The sequence below is a fragment of the Homo sapiens genome, chromosome 18 (assembly GCF_000001405.40).
Source record: "Homo sapiens chromosome 18, GRCh38.p14 Primary Assembly".
Taxonomy (NCBI): domain Eukaryota; kingdom Metazoa; phylum Chordata; class Mammalia; order Primates; family Hominidae; genus Homo; species Homo sapiens.
The window spans coordinates 69,903,839-69,928,579 of NC_000018.10; the positions used below are offsets into that span (position 1 = coordinate 69,903,839).

A 24,741-nucleotide genomic window follows, 5' to 3' on the forward strand; every position below is an offset into this window, starting at 1 on the left:
CACATTTCTGTTAAGTTACCCAGCTTTTGGTATCATGTGCCAGCAGCTCTAGGACACTAATAGGGAGTAAGGACCATCAGGACGACATCTTGGGTACAGTCTGGGCCTCGCCAGCACCCATCAGAAGCAGCAAGTCCATCCTGCTGAGAAAATCGGCCGTCTTCACAACACTGCTTCCCACACGTTGCCATTTTCTGTCTTTCATCTAAAGTGCAGATAAAAGGTAAAGGACCAAACAAGATAAAAAATAAGCTAAAAGACCGCTTAACTGAAAGGCACAGATAAAGTGGGAAGAGTGAGTTACAATAAAGAGATAAAAACACAACCCGACAAAGCCATCATGAAGGAAAGCCAGGCAAGGCCATTTGTGGAAATAAAAAAATGAAGGGACTAGATTCAGGCTGCGTGTCCTGCATGGCAAATCAGGATTCAGCCCAGAAAATCCATATTAAGAGATGATTTGCAGTATGTCCAAAGAGCGATTCCCCTGTCTAAGCACTGAACAGCAAAGGACTTGCAATGCAGGCCCCGGCAGCTTTGTGATTCAGATTACCCAGGAGTCAAAGCAACTGCTGAGACCACCGGCCTCCCCAGCTTCAGAGCCCAGGCTGCCTCCAGGGGCAGCTCCGTGGAGCTCCAGAATCTTGAGATTGGCTCCTGAAAGGTAACCGTGGGTCCCCTTGGTGTAATGTTTGTTCAGGTTCTAATTGTTAAAAAAAATAACTTTCAATCTCTCCACCATGGTACAATGAGAATGATGTTTTTATTATAGTCAGTATCATAAGATTTGCTGAATCACATGGAAAAGTCAAACTTTTGAGCCATTCTGCAGTTTCTCTCAACCAGAAAAATTACTGACTAATGGGATATAAGAATTTTAAATATAGGTAGTACATCTCTGAGGTCTCATAAAACCAAAAAATAAAATGCCCAAGAGCATTGGTCTGTTTCTTCTACTAAAATGTTACCAATTGGCCCCCCAGGTTAGACAATTTAATGTAGACTTTCTGCATGGCAGGTTTTTAACAGAAAAAGACATCAAGAGATTAACACCATCTCTAATGATTCTGTACTAGAGAATAGATTGTTAGTGATGGTCCCTGGAGACTACATTAAGCATTTTGTCCCATATACTTAAAAATATTTTCAGTATATTTTTAAAGTAAAATAATAAGCCTTGAACGAGTCCTTACTAAGTGCCAGCATTAAATGCATTACCTAAGCTAGTGCATTTAGTCCCCACAAATAAGTCACCCAGCTGTGAATGGCAGGACATTCTTACCTAGGCAGGGCGTCTAGGGAGCCAGTCTCAAACCAGCCCTGAGAAGGGACTCCGGTGACAGCCAGAGTTTTCTTTTCCACCCTGCAGCAGGGCAGGATCTCAGAGGCAACATCAGCTCCAAGGATGCCTCTGCTCCTAGATAGCTTATTTTCTGATGCCTTAACTCTTATAATTAGAAATCAATTTCTGCACTTGTCCTTGTTAAAATGCATATAAAATTTTCAATTCCCGGCAGGCACCAACACATTAGTGTGAAATTGTCCATTAGATTGTTTTCCAAGTAGAAAGCAAGGAAGATGTTTCCCACAGGAGAGTGGCCAGCAATAGACTTGCTGTGGCAAAGGAGAGAGAGGAGAGCCCAGAACTAGCCTTGTCCCTGCCAAGGTGAGTGCACCGCGGGGCAGAGGGCAGAGAAGGAGAGTGAGTGGAAGTGCGGGATTGGTGGGAGACTCATGCAGAAAGATGGACTGCAAACCAGAGGCGGTGAAATTTTACCTCCTTTATTTTTCCTTCCTTTATTCATTCAACATTCATTCCTTCATCCACAAAGATTACTGGGTGTAAATAAAACACAGACTGGGTTAGGGGAGAGACACACAAGCAGATAATTGCTGTAAAAAGACGATAAGTCCTCCAAAGAACAAAGTGATGAAAGCACAAAGAGAGCCTGTAGAAATTCCCCACTGAGGCCCTGATGGCATCTGCAGAGACCCAAAGAGACAGAGCTGTGAGTTTCAGAAGCAGCTATTGCCCGACGGTGCTCACCAAGGTCTGTCAAAGATTCTCTCACCAAACACAAGGGTATTTGCCAGAAGAAAATCTATTTAGGACTCCAAACTTAAGCTGTTCGATTGCATAAGTTTGATGCCTTTAGAGCATCTACTCCAGGTTCAATTTCCTTCCTCTTCTCATATTTTCTGACCATGTCACTATTTTAGTATCTACTTCATTACATTTCTTTGGTATTTCCAGATGGCTTTGTGGAGAACAAATAAGTACCATTTGTGATGCATGACATATGAAAAATGACTAAGAACCAACTGATATAATGTTAGAAATGGGAAACCAAGAAACAGTACCTGCACACCCTCACAATGTACTCTACACATACTATATACGCCTAGATGTGAACTTACATATTTTGACTTCCATTGAAAAAAAAGATGTAATAAAATTAAGTTAATTCTAAAACTAAGTTTTAAAACACACTGCTCAGGAAATCAGAGGTTCACCATTGCTAACAGTGTGATTCCTATCCAATTAAAATTGCTCTGAAAATTGGAAGATAATTTCTGCAAATTTCTGCAGGCAAAAGACATGACCTATGAAATAGAAGCCATTTTCTGTAGGGAAAGGAGAACACAAGGTCCTCTGGTCTTGCTCAGCGCTGCAAAAATCTCGTCAGGAATAGCAACAGGACTCAAAGAAAAGCAAACTAAAAATTCACCCTTATGGCTCTCTCCTGAAAATGTGAATATGAGCCCTATTTTGCCTAGCAAAATATTTCACGCTTTAACTGGCCGCAGGCAAGAAAGGTGAGGATTTCTTGGAGGACTTCGAGTTTCAGACAATATTCACGTTCGTTGTAAGGGAAAATGGCAAATGACGAATGGGAAGAACTGAAAGATGAAATCTTTGCTTGGGTTTCGCTAAGCAATAAGTTCCAAACACCCTGCAATGCAGGGAACTCCATAAAAATGGAGCAGGAGCCGGGCTTGACTCGGACAGTGAGCAGATGCTGTCAGGCTCTACGGACACCTCCTGGGACCTTTCTGCCTTCTTGAAGCACCCCAGCTTCTGTGCTCTCTTCTCCCCTAACAGCCAGCACCTGCCCCGCTAGGTTGGAGCACTGCCCAGGGTGGCTGGAGCCTGCCTGAGAATGCACACACTGATCAAGGGACCCTGATCCAGTGACTGACCCTGGTAGAGTTTGCTTTTCCTGACCAGGCAGCTTCCCTAGACTTCGCTGGATCCTGTGCCCTTGCTGGATCTCTCCTTCCCTTTCCAATCCAGATCCCCTGATGGGTTTCCCTGCGAACACTTCCTAATGGGTCCTTTTCACATTTATCCTCTTCTCAGGGACTGCTTCTGGTGAATGCAATCTAAAGCAAGCACAATTGTAGAACTTTACTAAATTGTACTTGGAGCCTAGAATCTAAATTTCCATCAGTGTGCCTGGAACCAGATTCCTAAATGTCTTTTTTGTTTGTTTTTCAGATGGAGTCCCACTCTGTTGCCCAGGCTGGAGTGCAGTGATGGTATCTTGACTCAGCACCTCCTGGGTTCAAGCAATTCTGCTGCCTCAGCCTCCCGAGTAACTGGGATTACAGGCACACACCACCATGCCCAGCTAAATTTTTTGTATTTTTAGTAGAGATGGGGTTTTGCCATGTTGGCCAGGCTGGTCTCGAACTCCTGATCTCAAGTGGTCCGCCCACCTCGGCCTCCCAAAGTGCTGGGATTACAGGTGTGTGCCACCACACCTGGCCCTTGAATGTCTTCTTGATAACATGACCTGAGTCAATGAAATCTCTCTCATAGAAGCAGAGGGTAGGATGGTGCTTACAGTGGCTGGGGATTGGGAGAATGAGGGGATAACGGTTAAGAGGGTACAAAACCTCAGTCAGACAGAAGACATAGGATTCTTCCTTTTTTGAGCTCCGTCACACAGCTTGATGCATATAAATAAGAGAGTATTGCCCATTTCAAAATTTCTAGAGAGTGAATTTCAAATATTCTCACCACAAAAAAAGTTAAGTATTTGAGAGGATGGATACATGAACTAGCTTGATTTAATTATTACACATTATATTTATAAGTTATAACCTCTGTTTGTACCCTATAAATTTATAGAATTATAAATTGTCAAATTACAATTTAAAAATTAATAACAAAACAAAACCGACTCTGTCTTTGACTCTCTGTTTGGCTCTATCACTCTCTCAAGTCCCAGCTTGACCTATCTCTCTCCCAGGACTTACCCACAGTAATCTCTCAGCCACTGAATCCTACGGCTCTCTCTTTCCACATTTTTGTGTAATTGGATATAACAAAGTACTGCACTTGCAAAATATAAACTGTCGTGTTTTCTATTTCTGTGGCTATGTCTTGCTTTTCTCAGTTATGCCAAGCTCCTTGGAGGCAAAAATAATTTCTAAAATATTTGTTTGTTTCTTGTTACTCCACCATGTTTCAAAAGCTTGCCAGTTAATTGTAGGGTGAATTGTACTCCTTCTAATCTCAGGAAAAACCTTATATAATAGCTTGTACATATTGGATGATTAATAAATACTTGAGAATTCATTTACTACATCTGTAGGAGTTAAGCACAATCTCAAAGAAATCTGCACAACAGCAAGAATGACTAACACAAAGATGATGAACAGTGTTCTTAACCAAACAGAATGAAAATTTGAGATATGGTTATTAGAGGCTTCCCTACATTTTTTCAACTGGACTATTAAAATAGTTGTCAAAATGAACTCTAATTGTAGCCCCTTTTCCCTCCAATTCATATTGCATCAAAGACTATATAACTAACATATAAATCTTATCAGGCTACAGCTGTACTTTGAAAGGTTCAGACGTTTCCTATTCCTACTACAGGACAAAGCACATGTTCTTTAGCAAAATCCTATATGATTTTATTCTTGCCTTTGTCTCCATTCTCATCTCCTACTAGAATCTGCCATATACTCCAGTTTCCCCAAGAACATTATTCACCTTTATGATCTTGCATCAGCTATCTCTTCTTCTGGAATGCCTTCATATAATCCTTCCACTTCATTCCAAGAACACTGCTATTTATCCTTCAAAATTTATCCTGTGATGCCACCTTATCCTGTGATGCCACTTATCCTGTGATATCACTTATTCTGTGACATCACCTATTTCAAGGAAGTATTTTCTTACTCATTTCAAAATAGGCTAACCACTCCCTCCTCTGTTTTACCTCTACCTTCTATTGTGTTGTTTTTTATTTGTTGTCATTTACTTCCTGCCCTAAGAAACTATCCACTCCTTAAAGACATTGTACCTTCAGTATGTCTAATCTTAGCAAAATGCCAGGCACATTAAGTTTCCCAATAATTTTGGGGGGACTACATGGATGAGAAAACATCTCCAAAGATGATGTGTTGTAAATTTAGTGAATGATACCAGGAACTCAGAGCAATATTTTCCAGTCCAGGCCCTACATGAGTTTGGGTCTCCATTCCCACTTCTGCCAAATGGAAACCCACACAGCAGCTTTCCCTCCTGGCACCACTCACCCCTGAGCATCAGCCAGCACTGCAAATTTATGGTTTTAATACCAACTCTCCAAAGAGCTCCAGGTGCTTTTCAAACCACAGAAAGATCAACAGTATTTCTCACAACTCCCTGAGGTAGAAGAGGCTGAAATTATTTAGTTCAAACCATAATGAAGTTAAAATGAAAAATATAACAATATTAAAAAACCAGTGTGAGTACAGCTATTAGCAGGGATAGTTGTAATCATCACATCGATTCAGAAAAGCAAGTAGCCCAGAAAAAACTAACAGCAAGAGGGAAACAAGAGTGTCCATGGTATTTATTTTGGATTTGCAATGAAATTTGGGAATTAAAGGAGATAATAATACATGTATTCAGCATTTAATTTGTGTTCTTTATACGTCAGAGGAAATGTCTGCAAATTAATCCTACGCAACAATAATTCTGTAAAGCATTACATATGTGAAGATGACTACACCAAGCATTAGTTGAAATAGAGAATATTGGAAAGAATCTAAATGTCCAGAAACTTAACAAGGTGAAGCAAATCATGAAAAGTAAAGATCAGTCTATCAGTATTGGAAATGCTTATGACATAATGTACAGAAAAAAATTATCAATGACATGTATGTACACTTTGCTAACAGTTAGAACATGTGTGTGCTCTGAATGAGAGTTGAACAGGAAACGGGAAGAGGAAACACAAGAACGGCAGCCTGAACTTTTTTCATTTATTTCTCTTATGCATTTTAAAATTTCTGTAAATGTTGTTTTGATACTCTTGGTGCACTGTGTTAGTAGTTTTCTAAAGAAGGAGGCAGCCCTGTGAGGATGGGCACACCTTGGAGACTTGCGTCCAAAGACTAGAACACAGAAAGGAGAAATAGGAACTTGACTTCACAGTGGGAAAACGTGGCAAACACACCTTAACCACATGATGGAGACCAACATCTCAGTGACGCTGCGTGGATATGAGGTACCCCTTGATATGATGTGATGAGAAGGGGTTCATGACTCTGGTATTCTTTCCAAAATTCCATATTCCCAGTCTAATCATGAGTGAAACATCAGACAAACCCTAATTGGGAGATGCTCTGCAGGACACTGGGCTAGTATTCCTCAGGCCTCACAGGGTTGTGAAAAGCAAGGAGAGATAGAAACTGTCACAGATCAGAGGAAACTGGGGAGAAGTGGCAACTCAATGCAATGTGGTGGCCTGGTGGAGGAGACCCTGGAAAGGAAAGAGGACAAAACATAATCACTTTGGATCCAAATAAAGTCTAGAGCTGAGTTAACGGTAGTATACTAGTTTCAGTTTCTTTGGTTTAACAAACATACCACAATAATGTGAGATGTTAACAATGGGGGAGACTGGATAAGGGGTATATGGAAACTATCTGTACTAGTTTTTCCACTTTTCTGTAAATCTAAAAATATTCTAAAATTTAAAGATTATTAGAAGGGTAAGAGGGCCAGATTTGGGAGTCTATAAAAGAAAAGAAACACAAGACAGATGGTAGAGCAGAAGGAATGTTTTTGCAACACCATCTTGAGTGGTACAAGGCAATGGAGTAAACACCACAAGACGCTGGGACTACACTGCAGTCGGTTAGGAAAGAGGAATAATAATGAGTTCTCATGGGTGGAACCGAGGCCATAAATAGCAAACTGGGTGTTGGCGAAGTGAGTTAGCTCAACATACTGGTGCACAAGAAACAATGTTAATTGAAATGGTCCAACATTTTGCTAGCTAAAAAGTATAAATTTCTCTGTCTTCCTTGAGATAGGTCCATGTTGGCACATGTGAGTTAATCTTATTTTTTGAAGTGAGTACTGTCAAAAAACTCAGAGAAGGCTTCAGTGGAACAGGTTTGGGGTGCTGGAGATTGCCACAGAGCCCCATCTTTCCCTTGAGGAAGGGTAATAGAGTGGATTAGCAAAGAGCAACTGAACACCGGCATCCTTTCTCCAAATGCTGACATTTATCCAACTAGAATATTGAGCTATTAAAAGTCTATTAGCCTAGCAAGCCCTGGGAACTGCCTTCTTCATTTTTGGAAGTTGGGACCAAAACAAATTGAAAATAAACCCTAAACAGATATTGCTACAAACCACATATGAAGAGCGACCTTAAAGTCCATGTTCACAGAGTGGGCACAACTGATGCGGCCAGGCACTCCACTTCACCCATCCCCGCAGGTCGGCAATACTCACACACACGGGAATGCTAACACTCATATAAGTTTGGAATAATACCCAATTCACTCAAAATGAGGCCAGAATTCTCAACTCTAATCCAAAGCAACTCTCTTTTCACCACACTTATCTGCCCCATGTATTACTTTTTCATGTATTTTCTAATCACTTGATTAAAATAAAGAGGTAAATACTTTGGTATACATTTTTAACTGTGATTTTTATTCTTTTCTCAAAATAAAATAGAATATGCTCATTTTACATGTGTGTATGTGTGTGTGCATATGTGTGTGTGTATTACTAATAAGCATACTGAACTAAGAGTCTTTGCCCACAAAAATATATCTCTTAATCATATTTCTTGGCTGTGGACTTAACTTTTTGTTCAGCTGAATACAGTAAATCTTCATTTTCTTATATCTATTCAAAATGTTTCTTTCTTTTTTTATTATACTTTAAGTTCTAGGGTACATGTGCACACGTGCAGGTTTGTTACATATGTATGGTGCTGGGAAAACTGGCTAGCCATATGTAGAAAGCTGAAACTGGATCCCTTCCTTACACCTTATACAAAAATTAATTCAAGATGGATTAAAGACTTAAATGTTAGACCTAAAACCATAAAAACCCTAGAAGAAAACCTAGGCATTACCATTCAGGACATAGGCATGGGCAAGGGCTTCATGCCTAAAACACCAAAAGCAATGGCAACAAAAGTCAAAGTGTTTCTTTCATTTCTTCATTTAAACATAAAATGGTTGAGCCTTCTTACAGGAAGAAATTAGTGAAAACCCAGGAGACATCAAAATCTGCAATGTTGTCATAAAGTGAGTGGCTATTTTTAAAATGATGCCCCTTCTATGTTTTTGTTTGTTTGATTATATCCACATATCTTTTCCTTCCTGAGTTCTGAGAAAGGGTATACAAAGCTCTGTACATTTTGAGATTGAGATGTCTAGGCTACAAAATTCTTTAAATTTTTGGACATAAAATTCCTCTCTACTGAGGGCTAGAACAAATGTCACCTCTGATTTGCTCAGGGATTTGGCTATATTTCATGATCTTTATTAAGAAAGATGATAATAATCTAGTCTTTAGGTCTGATTAATAATAATAACAGCTATAGTTTGAGGACTTATTATCTGCTTGTGACTATATTCAATGCTTTGCATATGCAGTACTATTTCATTTTCACATTTACAATTCAGTGAAGTATGGATTATTGTATCATTTTATAGAGGATGAAATTCAGGGTAGAGAAGTAAAGAGAAGAATCAGTCTTTGGATCTAATCACTTGTAACAAATGGGATCTGTTTCTCTCTCTCTCCTCAGCTTTAGGAAAGGAACCACACAGCACAACCAGGAGCTAGCAGATAAAGAGCATTTAGGGAACTCAGTGCAACAAACAGTTTGTCTCACTGGTTTCTTATAACTAGAATAAGGTACTCCCAGATCTAAATGACACTCTGCTTATTATGAATAGGGACAATAGAAAAGATCACTTCTGATGGGCAGATTCCTCTAGCACCAGCACCAGATGGTGGGATAAACGGGCTCTGGGATGCGCCGTCATACCTGCCAGCCCAGCAACCACAGCCATCTTCCCCGTCTCCACACCCTCACCTTTCCCAATAGCAGTGGAGAAGAGAGAGAGACATCACAAGAATACCAAGGATATCATAGAAAGAAAAATGAACGTGGAAACATTTTAGAAAATAGATCGCCAGAGCTCTGAAAACCAAAAAAGTCCTTATTGAAGAGATAAGTGTGCCTAAAGGATTTGTTATTGTCACAGAGCACAGATCAAAGATGGGATTATTTAAGCTTTTTATTTCTCAGAGTGAGAAAAGGACAGGTCTGTTCATAATTAGAAAACAAAATAAACTTTTTATTTTCTAAACATGTGCTTTTTTCTAAATGAAAAACTGCCTAAAGCAACTCTAGAATTTTATTAATCTATGTTTATGCATTACATGTGAACATTATTTAAAAAAAATAGATCATCTTAGAGCAAACTCAGTAAACGTATGCCATACTCTTAGAGTAACAACCTTTGTAAATTACTGTTTAAATTACAAGCGTGGGGTAAGTTGGTGCTTAGAGTAGTTGGGAAGGAGGCAGGAGAAGTCTCTGCAGGATGGACCTCACGAGCAGGCAGGAGTTCAGTGTGGGCAGAGAACTCTTTTTGCAGGGCTCAAGTGTCCTAGTGAAATGCTAAGCCTGCATATTATGGAGCAAGGGACCAGCCCTCTGAAAGATGGGCTTCAGATGTGCTAAAAGAATTGGAGAATTATAGACAACCTCACCGGAAAGGGAGAAAAAGGAAGAAGATGTTTCTTACTAAAGTGTGAAGGGGAAAAAATGGCATCCCACGACTTCTCTATCATTCTATTGATCTTAATGAGGTTTCTGGAAACAAAATGAGTTGGGGGAAATGCACTACTTCTATTAGAGAGATTTCCAAAATTTGGAAAGCTGTCTCACTGTGATCATATTTTCATAGCATGATTTTGGAACAATAATCTAAAATGTCCAGTATTTATACTACCATCTATGAATTTGGCTTGTATGTATTATGTCAGAATGTGAAAAATCTCTGGCTCTGAAATTCTACCTTTCTATATAATATTTCAGATCACACCTGCAAAACTACTCTACGACCTTGACATTTTTGATGAGTTTGATGAGATCTTCGACTGCTTCAAGTCAATCACCTCATATCAGTGCCATTGGCAATTTGAGGAAGACAAAGAGGAGCTTGGTTCAAGTTGATTAGCACTACCAGAAAAGAAACTCACAGTGAACACCATATATCAATTATTCCATTGAGTTCATGGACCAAGAGGAGAATATTTATTTTCAAGTTTTGTGGTTAGCAATTCCTTGTGATAGTTCTGCCAGTTTCCAATTTTCTCACTGAAGGGCTACAGAGTTCCGTATTTGTGCCAAGTCCTATATATTGCTCCTTTACAAAAGCATTTCTACTGAAGTAAATTGGAAAAAGAAGAAAAGGCAAGATAGACTAGACTTTTGGCCCTCCTTCTAATTGAGAATGACAACCACAACCATTTCAGTTGCATTCAGCTGTCATTCTGTTACTCCCAATAAAACAGAAATGTTCATGCTCTAAAGTAACTAACACAAATAACCATCAATTGAGGACCTACTATATTTAAGACAATGTCCCAAATTCTGAGCCAAATCTCAAGGAAATTGCAAAGGAAAGTCAAAGGAATTAAAATCAATAATGCAATAGGTCCTGACTCGCCTGAAAGTAAATTGGCACAAGAAAACATCCAAAAAAATATTTTTTTACTATCTTAGCATACTCTGATTTTCTAGAAATTCTACTCTTGTTCAGTTTAAAGTGAGGGAAGATTTTACTTTGAAGTATTAGAGCTTTACCAGAGTTGTTCATTTTGGAAACAGTATCGTTAATGATTGACAATGCCATTCAGGGTAATCACATCTTCTAGTCATAGTTCACGGTGATTCTAAATGGAGGTGAACACATTTCACCATTTCATTTTATCCCTCTCACACAATAGCACCTGGACACGATTTCAAAATGGTTAAGGAGACTTATAAAGTATTTATTACAGAAGAGAACATTGGATCTGATAGGGTTGACAATCATTGCTATTTGCTTTATTAGTAGCAGAATGAGTAAAAATATGCAGAAATGCATATACACTTTAGCAAATGATCAAAGAGTCCATATGATGTATTTTTAATCTAATAAATGAATTCAATGTTAATATAACTAACCAAAGGTCCTCAGCTACTTTTTATCATGCCATGGTTCTCCATTTGCCAGAATTCATCTAACAGCCCCATTAAAATTGTAAACACTGGAAGCAAAGATGAAATGGAGAAAACAAACAATTCTTTTCCAGATTACAGTTAGTTCTCAAATATACCTTTGGAAGCTAGGTCAGAAAGAACTTAGATAAATATGCTTCCTATGAATTGGTATATGTCCTATTGCTACGCGCCATTTTTTAAATGCGGAAACTAATTGAAATAGTTGCTTTGAAATATTTAAGCTCAGTGTTTGCCATTCTCCTTGGCTCTTTTATCTCACTACACACTCTTTTTCTAAGTTAGGGATGACTTCCATTTCCCCTGCATAGTACGCACTTCCCCGAAGTCTGCAATTTAATTTCCACCTCCATAATTTTAAATATTTTAAAGTTATCATTTTACACTCTCAATTTTCCTCTACAATTGCCTTCATAATGGCTTCCTAACTCTACTGTCTTGGAATTACATTTTTCACATTTATAGGTTTGTCTTTTAAAAGCAAAACAAAACAAAAAAGCCATAAAATTTGGGGATCAGAATCAAATCACAGGATGTGCCAGAGCCAGTGGTAATGATTACAGATATACCCTAATGTGAGGTTTATTGCAGTTGTGCTATTTCATTTCAGAGGTATATTACTGTAGAATAACAGTTAAGAGAACAAAGCATATTTTTTGCCTGTCAATAGATTCAATTGCATTTTACAGCAAAAATAATTTACTCGCAGGTTTAAATTAGACATCTAAGTGATGCAAATAAATAAATCACTGATGATTTCAGCAACCAGAGATAACCACACAGATACTGATTTGTGATTTATTTGTAATATACCACAAACAAAACTAAAAACTTCAATGTATATTTCAGGAAAAGATTAATTTGGTGTGTGGTTACTTATAAAATCATGTAAGAGTAACAAGACAAAACCAATTTTAAATAATAGAATTTAAGAATGCTCTAGTCCTAAAGAATAATTTAGTATGACATTGACCATCTAACCATCCCTCTATTTCCTCTCCCAAAATATAGTTCGGATGCTGAAAGTGAAATACACCTTAAAAAATAAAAGGTAAAATATAGGCTGTCAGACTAATCTGTACTGAATAAAATACCCTCCGGAAAGCCATGACTCAAAACATTTATCATCTCAACAAGAAACAATGATGTGTTTGATTCATAAAGTAATACAAAAAGTATATTTGTTTTCCTGATGTTTAGACAAGCATCAAACCACACAATATTTTTTAATGAGTCATTGGACTAGAAATCTGAGCTTTATCTTTCATACTAAATACACGGTTCATCCACTAGGGTATCAACCTACTAGGGGCATGAACTGTCCTTTTTATACATTTTGTACATAAGGGAACAGACGAGATTCTTATACTCAATATGAGCACCCAATGGGCACTCATTATATGCTCATCAAGTTTGCTTTAAGGGATGTTGAGAGAGCAGTATAACTTTCTGCATACGAATTCTGAACCTTTGTGACATGGTATCCTTCTGACAATCTCTATCTTGGTTAATACCATCTCCCCACATGACCTGCTATCAAGATTTGAAGCCAAGCTTCACTCCTTCCTTTGTGCATCCCTCCCATTTCACTCACACCCAAATCCTGTCACTTCCTCCTCCTTAATAGCCTTACATCTGCCTACTTCTCTGCTTTCCCACTTGAACAGGTTCTTATCATCACCTCTCCCCAGGTGGTAATGACAAGGGCCTTGTCATAATTCTCTATATACATTACATAGTACAGCCAGAGTAATCTTTGTAAAACAGATCTGGCCCTATTAGTCCCTAGCTTAAAATTCTATGTATCCCCAAAGCCTCCAGGATAAAATTCAAACTTCTCAGCACATATTCTAAGGCCTAATAGAAGTAGTCATGGTTTCTCCAAGTGTCAGCTCTGGTCCACCACTCACCTTGCCCCTGGGCTCATTCTCAGATCCTCCAACTCACCACATACACTCCATCTCACGTCTGAACTCTGGACCAGGACACTCCCTCCCCCAGCACCATCTTTCCTTCCCTCCTTCTGCTGCTTTCTGCCTCTTCCATTGAGCTTTCCTGGGTTGCTCCTCCTCCTCAAGCTAGGTTACACACCCCCCCAACACATGCACTTTATGCTCATATTTTAGCCTATATGCACCTCTTCATTTACAGTGCTGCTCCTAAGATATGCCTCTTGTGCAGCTGTTGACTTTTTTAAAAATAAAGCACAGGAATTTATATGTTCTCCTACCTGATTTTAGTGAGTTAGCGCTGTCAGTTTAGTTAAGTTGATAGTTTGAGTTTACTTTTCCAAATGGGTGCTTTCGTCTATCATTGTGAACTTCAGGTATGACCTGCGTTATGTGTATAAATATATCTTTAAGTCTTCATACAGCTTCTTGGACAAGGGGGGAGTCATTGAAAAGGATCAAAGATTGAGTCTCCTGTCTAATACTTAATCCATTGTTGATTATGCTTTGAGATCACAGAGGGAAGTTATAGTGAAGGAAAATGAGTGGTTTGAATTCACTCCAAAGAGGAGCAAAAGAGCTTTATAATGACCAAGAGCCCCTGGCTCTAAAACCTTGAAAACAAGTCAGCTGCCCACTGAACCCACCTACCCAAGGCCATATGAGATTAAATTTGTGCCTCACCAGCCACACCAAGCAAGGAGAAGGGCACAGCCAATTTAGTCTTCAACATGGAGGTGAGTTCATCTCAATTAAACAAATCTACTTTTAAGGGTCTATTGTAAAATATGTGTGAGGCAATGTTGATGGGACAAGACCCATCACGTCCCTGAAAGAGCTTACAAAAAGAGTCACCTACTTCAATTACAAATTCAGTTCAAAAATATTTGGTAAGGGCCTAGTACATGAGAAGTACTAAAGAAGCTATTAGGGCCAGGCACGGTGGCTCACGCCTGTAATCCCAGCACTTTGGGAGGCCGAGGCAGGTGGATCACCTGAGGTCAGGAGTTTGAGACCAGCCTGGCCAACATCATGAAACCCCATCACTACTAAAAATACAAAAATAAAATTAGCCAGGTGTGGTGGCAGGCACCTGTAATCCCAGCTACTTGGGAGGCTGAGGCAGAAGAATCACTTGAACTTGGCAGGTGGAGGTTGCGGTGAGCCGAGATTGTGCCATTGCACTCCAGCTTTGGTGACAGAGTGGGACTCTGTCTCAAAAAATAAATTAATTAAAAAGCAGCTATTAAGGATAGAGTGGATAATACCTCAGGCATGGTCTCGGTCCTCACAGGGCTTAGGAACTAATAAGGAAGCCATAAAACTAAACAGATGTTTACAATGTAAAATGCACTGTGAGCTCTGTGCAGGGACACAGTAGGAAAGGAGCCAGATAGAGAGCAATGTCTTGACTTGGAGCAGAGCCACAGCCATCAGCAGGCATCCAGGGCACTTATAGACACCCCTGTGCAAATAGGGGAGTCATGGAAAATACAGATGGAAAGTGGAAGGCCTGGACTGTTGCCCAATACGCATCTGTATAATTTCGTGGACTGAATGTGTGGGGCAGGCTAGTGATACTTCAGGAAGGGCTGAGATTGTTGCTGCACTGATACAGACATGGGATGCAATCAGAGGAGGTGGGGGCCATGGGCCCTCCCAAGGCCTAGAAATGGAAAGATGAAGAAGTATTTAGGAAATAATGTCACTGCCAGAGGACCTGGCAGCCAAATGAAGAAAAAAGAGCCGAAAGGAAATAAATGGCAAACTGAGAAAAAGGTTAACACTTTAAACAGAAAATGTTCGGACAGTTGAGGCTTCAAGCACTGCGTCCAATGAGTACTGGATATTATCTCAGCTAATTTGCCACTTCGTTTCTCAAGGATAACCAAGAACTGGTTGTGGCCTCTCTGTTTCCATAATGCTCAAACTGAAGAAAAATAACGGAGCAACCCAGGCAATTTAAACATTCCAGAAACGCTGTCAGGGAGCTTTTTTCAAACATAGGAAGGAAAAAACTGACCGTTTACATAGCTACAAAAAAATATCTAAAATATTGTCAAAAGAAGTCTTGAACCAAGGAAATTTATCACATAAGACAAACCATTTCATTTTCACCATAATATTTAAAGGATCATCCAGGAAGTAGACAAAACTCTTCAAACAATGTCTAGTATCAAAAGAAAGTGAATAATTCTACTTTCTGAAAGAACTGAAGGCAAGGAGATTACCTAAATTTTAAGAGTAAATAAATGCTGAAGAGACAAAACATAATATCTGTCTGTGAAGTAAATGGCACCAGGCAAAGCACATTTTCATCTTATTTCGCTGAACAATGCAGGCCAGGGTTATTAAGTCTGACAAGGCAAATTGTTTATCATGACTGAGTCATAAATACTAGTACCAAGAGATGTGATTTACTGAACAGTACCAAACACCGAATGAGGATTTTTTAAATGAAGTTATTTCAAAAAAGAGTCGGTTACTATAAGAAGCATGAGTTATCCTCTTACTTTCATCTACTTTTGTTGTCACTCTTTTTTTTTTTTTTTTCCAAAGACAAGGTCTCGCTCTATTGCCCATGAGCAATCACAGGTCACTGAAGCCCCGACCTTTCAGGATCAAACCATCATCCCACCTCAGCCTCCTAAGTAGCTGGGACAACAGACATGTGCCACCACACTCAGCTAATTTTTATATTTTTTTGTAGCAACAGGGTTTTGCCAAGTTGCCCAGGCTGGTCTCGAACTCTAGGATCAAGGGATCTGCCTGCCTCAGCCTCCCAAAGTGCTGGGATTACAGGTGTGAGCCACCATGCCTAGCCTTGTTGTCACTCTCTACACAGGCTCAAACCCAAAAATAGAAACAGGAAAAACTGAAGATATTTTTTAAACTGCTTTGCTTTCCTGGGGAAGATATTACAAATGAACTTACTTCTCTACTTCCATTTGCTTTGATAAAAAGACTAGAGGTCTCTTTGTTCTTCACATTATGAAACAGGAATTTTCCATAGAAAATCCATCCCCTACTGCCTTGAAATGTCCATTTATATACAAGATAAAAACAATGCTTCATGGAGTTTATAATATAGAATCACTTATTGCCTCACCAATGCATTCATTTCTTCATTTTTATATAAGAAAACTTGACACTTCTCCTTTTTACTTACATGAAAATTCATTCCTCTGTATTTTTCTTTATACCCAGTAGTACTTACAATTACTCCTCAAAAGAAAAATAACTTTGCTTCATTCTTCTATATGTTGTTATTTGGGCCAATTAATCATAATAAAAAATTTAATATATACTAAGTATTTATAATGAGGCACGATGTGTGATAAACACTTTGCAGCGGATGTTTATTGAATCTCACCTTTCATTTGAGGCACTGTTATTATGACTCTCATTTTAAAGATATTGTAACAAGGGTTATGACTAGCGAAGACAGAGTCAGTATTTGAACACAGAAATTTGACTGAGTTCCTTAAAAGAACAAAAATAAAAACTTACGTACCCAAATAGTAGATGAATAGCATCTAGCACAACATGTTCCCTAAAATGATAACTACAAATTATTAATTCTGGAATCCTTTATACAAAAAAGTCATCTCGCTTATGCAGCACAACTCAGCCCTGTGTATTTGTCTTTTTCCCATCTGCAGGTCACTGCCGTCACAGGACGCAATTGCTCAGTTCTTCATGCCGAGGCAATGAAAACTTATACCCAATGTTTCCTCTGGGAGGGCAATTCTTCCCAAATGTAAATCTGATCATGGACCTCTCTGCTTGCAAACCAGTTTCAATACTTGGAGCTTCTTACACTCATGCAAGTATAATCTCTCTCTAAGCCTCCTTCTCTCTGCCCTCACCTCTCACTACATCTGTCCATGCCCCACAATCACCACCATTAATCACCACCACTCCAGGCCCTCATGTGTTCACCTCTCTTGTCCACGCCTCCATGCCCCGTGCAGGTTGTTCTGTCTGCTGAGATCCTCAAACCCTGAAGGCCTCCTCGCATGGGATCATCTGGGAAGCTTCGCCAGCTTTGGGGGCGCAGTTTGCATCCTATCCTATCTGCACTCTGGCCATCTCTGTGAGAAGCTAACACATCTTATTGGGCCATTGGATTGTAAGCATCTCCACAGAAGGAATGACTTCTTAGTCATATAAGAGGGCACCACATCTTTTAACCTTCCTACCCAATCTCTTTAATAAGGTGGCTGTCCTCCTTCCCCCAGGCCGAGCCACAAGGCAGAACATCACACCTGCCCTGTGGGAAGACCCATGAGGCCCTTCGTGGATTGGCCTTATCTTTTGAATATTATCTTAAATCACTTGTCTCCTTGTTAGTCAGTTTAAGTAACTGTAAGTCAAAGGGAAGAATGCAAATCTACACACTCCAAGTTTTATCCAATGCTCTTTGGCATAATTTGCCTCCATGATATTCTTTATTCTTAGTCTTACTGCTCTACTGACTTCTTTCCTCCGGGTTTTTTGTTTTGATTTAGTTTGGGCTTTGGGGATTTTATGGGTTTTTTTAATTTGAATTTTTGTTTCTTTGTTTCTTTTGGTAGAAATTAAAAACAAGCTCCCATTTTTGTCTTTGGAAAACTCCACTTGAGGAAGTACCAAGAATCTTCACTGTTTTAGGGACCTCGTTATTACCAGTCACATCAAGCATAAGAAATCCCCATGATAAAGGACTAGTTACACTTACTAAACGGAGCACTAAGGTGTACAAAAGTCTGGAAAAATAAACATGCAGGAGGTTTTTCTAACAGCATCAGAAATGTGGCAAATGTATTGCAAATGTTTTTATTTTTTCTATCTAAAAAGCATAAATATTTAAAAAATATTAATATAGGCCTAATTCAAGGAATGGCAAATGATTTCATTGTCAAGAAGTAAGGCCTTGAGTATTTGTTGAATGTCTATAATTTTCGTTTGTTTATTTTTTGAGATAGGGTCTCACTCTGGCACCCAGCCTGGAGTCCAGTGGTGCGATCATAGCTCACTGCAGCTTCAAGCACCTGGGCACAGGCAGTCCTCCTGCCTCAGCCTCCCAAGTAGCTGGGACCACAGATGCATACCACCACAACTGGATAATTTTTTATTTTCAATCGAGCCACAGTCTCACTATGTTACCCAGGCTGGTTTCAAACTCCTAGGCTCAAGCAATCCTCCTGCCTCGGTTTCCCAAAATTCTGTGATTACAGGTGTGAGCCACTGTGCCCGGCTTTGTATAATGTTTTACACTAAAAACAGACTTCTGTAAATGGAACAATTATGGAAATGCTGGACTTGAGAAATGAGGACTCATCTCTCCACAAATCTTATCTAGTCAAGAAACAGACCAGGCCATTGTGAGGATGCACAGTGCTGAAAACGAACCCCTGGGAATGGGGCCCTTCGCAGTCTACCCAATTCCACCCTCATACAGCTTTCAAGTAGTGAGAGCTGATAAACACTGGCATGAGAGCAGTTTTGAAAAGAAAATCTCATAACTGGCCAGGCTTGGTGGCTCATGCCTTGTACTCCCAGCACTTTGGGAGGCCAAGGCAGGCAGATCGCCTAAGGTCAGGAGTTCGAGACCAGCCTGGCCAACATGGTGAAACCCCCATCTCTACTAAAATTACAAAAATTAGCCAAGCATGGTGGCGGGCACCTGTAATCCCAGCTACTCAGGAGGCTGAGGCAGGAGAATGGCTTGAACCCAAGAGGCAGAGGTTGCAGTGATCCGAGATTGCGCCACTACACTCCAGCCTGGGCAACAGTGAGACTCTGTCTCAAAAAAGTCAAAGAAGAAAGAAAGAAAGAGAGAAAGAGAAAAAGAGAGAAAGAAAGAAAGGAAGGAAGGAAGGAAGGAAAGGGAGAAAGAAAGAGAGAGAGAAAGAAAGAGAGAGAGAGAAGGAAGGAAAGAAAATCTGATAACAAAATAGCAAAACATGGCATCATAATGTTGGAAGGCAAGTGTCGTGTTGCAGGAAGACAAGAATTGGGGGCCAGGAGTGGGATCAATGCAGGGCTGAAGTTCTCACTGGTTAGAATCCTGCCCCCTCCTCAAAACCAACTGCGAAAACGTCCTCTTTTTATCCCTGCCTTACCCCATCAGCTCTGGCCTTTTTAAAAACATTTGTTGTTCTCTAGTGAAGCCTCTATCACCTTCTCTATCTGAGAACTGACCAATGGAAATTCATAACTTTATCTCCAGAAATCCCAGAGGCCTAAAAAAATTAAGAGGATTAATGGGAAACTTGCAAGAAAGTGACAACCTCGATAGAAGTGACACATCTGATTTAGGATGGAAAAAGGTTAGTCAATAAAAATCAGGCCGGGCGCGGTGGCTCACGCCTGTAATCCCAGCACTTTGGGAGGCCGAGGCGGGCGGATCACGAGGTCAGGAGATCGAGACCATCCCGGCTAAAAACGGTGAAACCCCGTCTCTACTAAAAATACAAAAAATTAGCCGGGCGTAGTGGCGGGCGCCTGTAGTCCCAGCTACTTGGGAGGCTGAGGCAGGAGAATGGCATGAACCCAGGAGGCGGAGCTTGCAGTGAGCCGAGATCGCGCCACTGCACTCCAGCCTGGGCGACAGAGCGAGACTCCGTCTCAAAAAAAAAAAAAAAAATCAATGGAGTATTGTGTCCTCAGACTTCAAAATAAAAACAGATGCAGCATCATTTATCGAGGATGGCTTCCACAAAACTCATATCTAAATAGCAACTGCCAACAGAAACCTCAACACTTTACAAGGGAGAAACGAGCTTCTTGAATTATACCATAGACCACCGAGCCAACGTCATAGAAGAAAATATTATGCAAAATGAGACAGATGGAAAAATTAAATTAGGAAGGACTAACGGACTACTTCCATTATCTGCATCGTATCTTGAATTCTACCTCTGAAAAAGCTACAGACACACTACATTTGTACTACACATAACTGGCTCCTGAATTTATAGGAATAAAAATATATGGAAATTTATATTGCATTGCGGAATGAAATAGATATATACAATATGCACTTTGAATCATCTGTCATGATCAAATGACAAAAGGTGATTCTGACTAGAAAGGCAAAGTCAAAAGTTCATTGGAAATTTTTGCATAATTACAAATGAAAACTACAATAAAATGCAAATATTCTGGTTAAAAAAGTAAAAGTATAGTTGAAAAGGTAAAAATCCCAAAGAAACCCCTAGACTTACAAAAAAAAAAAAACCAAAACATGTTTTTGAAAGTCCAGGGAAAATATATGCCAACAGATCTAAAGGGCCAAGTGCTTCAAATAAAACCCCTTATGGCTGAACTGACAAAGTCAAAGGGCAACAGTAGGATGAAGGTATTGCCAAAAAAAAAAAAAAAAAAAAGAATCATTCAAACTGGGGAGAACTGCAAAGCCCAGAGGTACAAATAAGCAGTGAGGCCCAAAGAGTGTTTGAAAACTATCTCACATAGCACTCCAAAGTAAATGCTGAGAAGTTTTTCAGCACATCAAAAAGAGAAAGAGAGGGAGAGAAACTGCATGGCATTTGAAAACAACATACACAACAAAAGTTTTTCAGTGAATAAAAACAGAGTAACAAGGACACTAAAGGGATTCGTTTCATCTTTTTGGAAAAAGTGATTAGAGAATTCCTGAATTTTCCATTAGAACAGATAAGCAACATATATTACTTTAAATAAATAAGCCTTTGACCTAACTCATGAACTGAACAAAACGTTCTCACCGGGAACAAAAATCCTCCACTCAGCTTGCTTTGCAGGTGCTACAAGACAACCTGTTGGACAAAATGCACTTCCGATATTTGCAAATGGCCACCATGCTTCAGAATGAGTGTGTTTTCAATGGGTGCCATCCAAAAGGGGAACTCTAGGTAGGTCATGAAATTAAAGCCAGAGAGTCTCACTGCTATGTCTAAAAAACTGAGAGAATGTGCTGGGACAAGTACTTCGTGCATAACCAAATACAAACTAGGATCAGAAATGCAGAATGATCTCTGCAAAGAAAAAGAATGCAAATTCACCTGCTAGAATTTCCTGGGTAGATAAATCACATGTCAAAGGAGAAACAAAAGAAAAAACTCGTTTAGATTTTCAAGCTCTTTTTTTTTTCCACTTTCTATTCACAGATATTCCAAAACCATATTCCCCTCTCCAAACTGGCTCCTTTTTACTCTCCCCACTGTTCAGAAACTGGGTATCCTTCTTAACACCTCTTCCCTTTCTCACTCATCCAATCAGTTGCTGGATCCCGTCAACTCTACCTTTTAAACATCTCTCAAACATGGACCCTACACTCTCTATACAAATTGCCCTATTCTGCTCCATCCCTACTATATTACTAAAATAGACTTCTGCCCAGCCTCCTTCACTCCAGTCTCGCTCCCATATGAACGACAGTCCACGATACCATCAATCTGATCTCTCTCTCAAGACATTAAAACCCTTCAATAAACTCTCAGTCCCCTTATGGTGAGTATGCACTTCTCACCACAGCACATAGAATCACTTAGCAGGCTGGAAACAGTGGATCCTGCCTGTAATCCCAGCACTTTGGGAGGCCGAGGCGGGCAGACCACCTGAGGCCAGGAGTTCGAGACCAGCCTGGCCAATATGGTGATACCCCATCTCTACCAAATATACAAAAAGTAGTCAGGTGTGAGGGCGCACAACTGCAATCCAAGCTACTCGGGAGGCTGAGGAAGGAGAATCACTGGAACCCAGGATGTGGAGGTCGCAGTGTGCCAAGATTGCGCCACTGCACTCCAGACTGGGCGACAGAGTGAGACTCCATCTCAAAACAACAATAACAACAAAGAACCACTCAGCATCAGGTCTTTGCCTACCTCTCTGCTTGTATCTATCCCATTCCCACCTCATACATTATGTTTCAGGATGATGGGCTGCTTTTCCATCCTCTTACATCTCCCGCTTTGTATTTCTTCTCGGGACCTTTGCACTTGCTATTCCTACTGCAAGGACACCCTGCCCTTTCTTTGGCTAACTCCTACTTCTTTAGTTGTCAGATGTGTTTTCCATCCAACTTGAACAATGAGGAATGACAACAGTCATCTTAAGGACTCTGAGAGTCCCCTTTATGGCATTATCCCCATGAGAGCGTTATTTCATACCATCATGTAATGTCTACTTACATATGATAGGGAGGAGGGCAGGAGCTATAATATCTCATTCATCCTAATATTTCCAGTTCCTGATGGAATGCCTGGCAAGTGGTAACAGCTAAATATGTGTTAGTTGAAATGAGTTGAAGTTTCAGACTCAACAAGATATCTAATTCTTCAGGGAACATGGAAAGGGAATTCAATGGAACCATCATGTGCTGGGCAACTTCCATGTGCCAAGTATTATATAGGATCTTTGTATATTATCTCATTAGTTCTCATGCCTCCCCTAAGGTACATATTATACATGAGTACTTTCTATACATGAGTAAACTGAAGCTCAGAAAAATGAAGAAACTTTTCAGACATCACCAGATGAGTTAGGAGCAGGACAGAACTCAAAGCTCTGTGTCAACAAATCCTTTTTTGTTTTCGTGTAATAAAGACAAGAACCAAAACAATAGATAGCAGGAATTTCTCTAAATAAAGAATTGTTAACAATGAAATTTCCCTTGAAATAATCCTGGAACTAAGCTCACTGCTATGATCTGAATGTTTCTCAAATTCATATTGAAACCTAATCCCCATTGTGGTGGTATTAAGAGATGGTGCTTTTGGGGACATCATTAAGTCTTGAGAATTCTGCTTTCATGAATGTGATTAGTGCCCTTCAGAAAGATGTTGAAGGGAGCTGCTTTGCCCCTTCCACCATATGAGGACGCAGCAAGAAGGCGCCGTCTTGGAAGCAAAGAGCAACCCCTCACTAGACAGTAAATTTGCTCGTGCTTTGGTCTTGGACTTCCTAGCCTCTAGAACGGTGAGATATACAACTCATTTATTTATAAATTACCCATCTAAGGTACTTTGTTATAGCAGCCTGAACAGACTAAGACACTACACACACACACACACACACACACAAACACACACACACACACATATACCATCTTAGCCCTTTTAAAATGTACAGTTCAGTAGCATTAAGTATATTCACATTGTTGTATACCCAATTTTCAGAACTCTTTTTATCTCACAGAATCGAAATCCTACCCATTAAACAACTCCCTGTTCTCCCATCCCCCACCCCCGACAACTACCATTCCACTTTCTGAATCAATGAATTTGACTCCTCTGTGTACCTCATATAAGTGGAATCACAAAGTATTTGTTGTCTTGTGACTGGCTTTGTTCATTTGGAATAATGTCCCCAGGGTTCACCCATGTTGCAGCATGTGTTCAAATAGTCCTCATTTTTAAGAATGAAGAATATTCCATTGTATATATTCTACATGTTACATACATTTTATATACATATACGCATAATAGATATACACTGTAGATATTCTGCATTTTGTCCATTTATTCCTCCGTAGACACTTAGGTTGCTTCTTCTTTTTAGCTGTTGTGAATAATGCTGTTATGAACATGAGTGTACTAAGTTCACATAATATGTTTACAAATAATGTGCTAATAAATATCCCTATCAAAAACTTGCAAATGACACTAAACCACTCTGAGTGGTAAAATAACAAACTAGTGGGTGAAATACTGAAGAATCTCATTAAGCTATGAAATATGCAGAAAAGCGGTAGATAAGTTTCAAACCATTTAGAAAGACAAATTCATATCCAAATACACTTCAAACCATGTTTCACATATGATGAGCTATAAACCTTTGTTCCCACCCAGGGGAATACTTTTCACTTACTCGAAAGTACTCATAGGCAGCTGTTCTATTCTACTTAATTACATATGGAATTCATACGTTTCCTATGTACAGATCAGCAATTGGTGCTGATCATTTTCTATCACTCCCCCTACTTCACCCCAACTCTTTTGCTGTTTTATTGAGCATGTCTCCTAAGGGCAAAGCTCTGTTCCCAACATTATTGGGATCATGAAGAGGGAAATGGGATGTGGCCTGCCCTCATTCAGGACAGGAGGCGGTGAGGGAGATGGCAATGGTAATCACTAGATGGAATGCAAGGAAAATAAAATATGTTCAATGAAAAGGTGGCCACAAACAACATCCGGGGGAATGCAGGAAACATGGATTCCTGTTTTAGGGGTGGGACAATGTTTCCTTAGCTGAAGAATGAGTACAGGTTGAGT

The 24,741-nt window shown here is 39.7% G+C and overlaps 1 protein-coding gene across 9 annotated transcripts in view; it reads right to left on the reverse strand.

Annotated features, from left to right (window-relative positions):
- Positions 1-24,741, reverse strand: part of CD226 (CD226 molecule) — a 108,500-nt gene that overhangs the window by 50,565 nt on the left and 33,194 nt on the right. The window contains exon 1 of one of the 9 annotated variants that reach the window (XM_047437277.1): positions 20-386. The exons of the other annotated variants lie outside the window; for them this stretch is intronic. The gene's annotated coding sequence lies outside the window, so the exon portion shown is untranslated. Of the gene's footprint in view, positions 1-19; positions 387-24,741 lie in introns of those variants that run through there. 9 annotated transcript variants of the gene reach the window in all.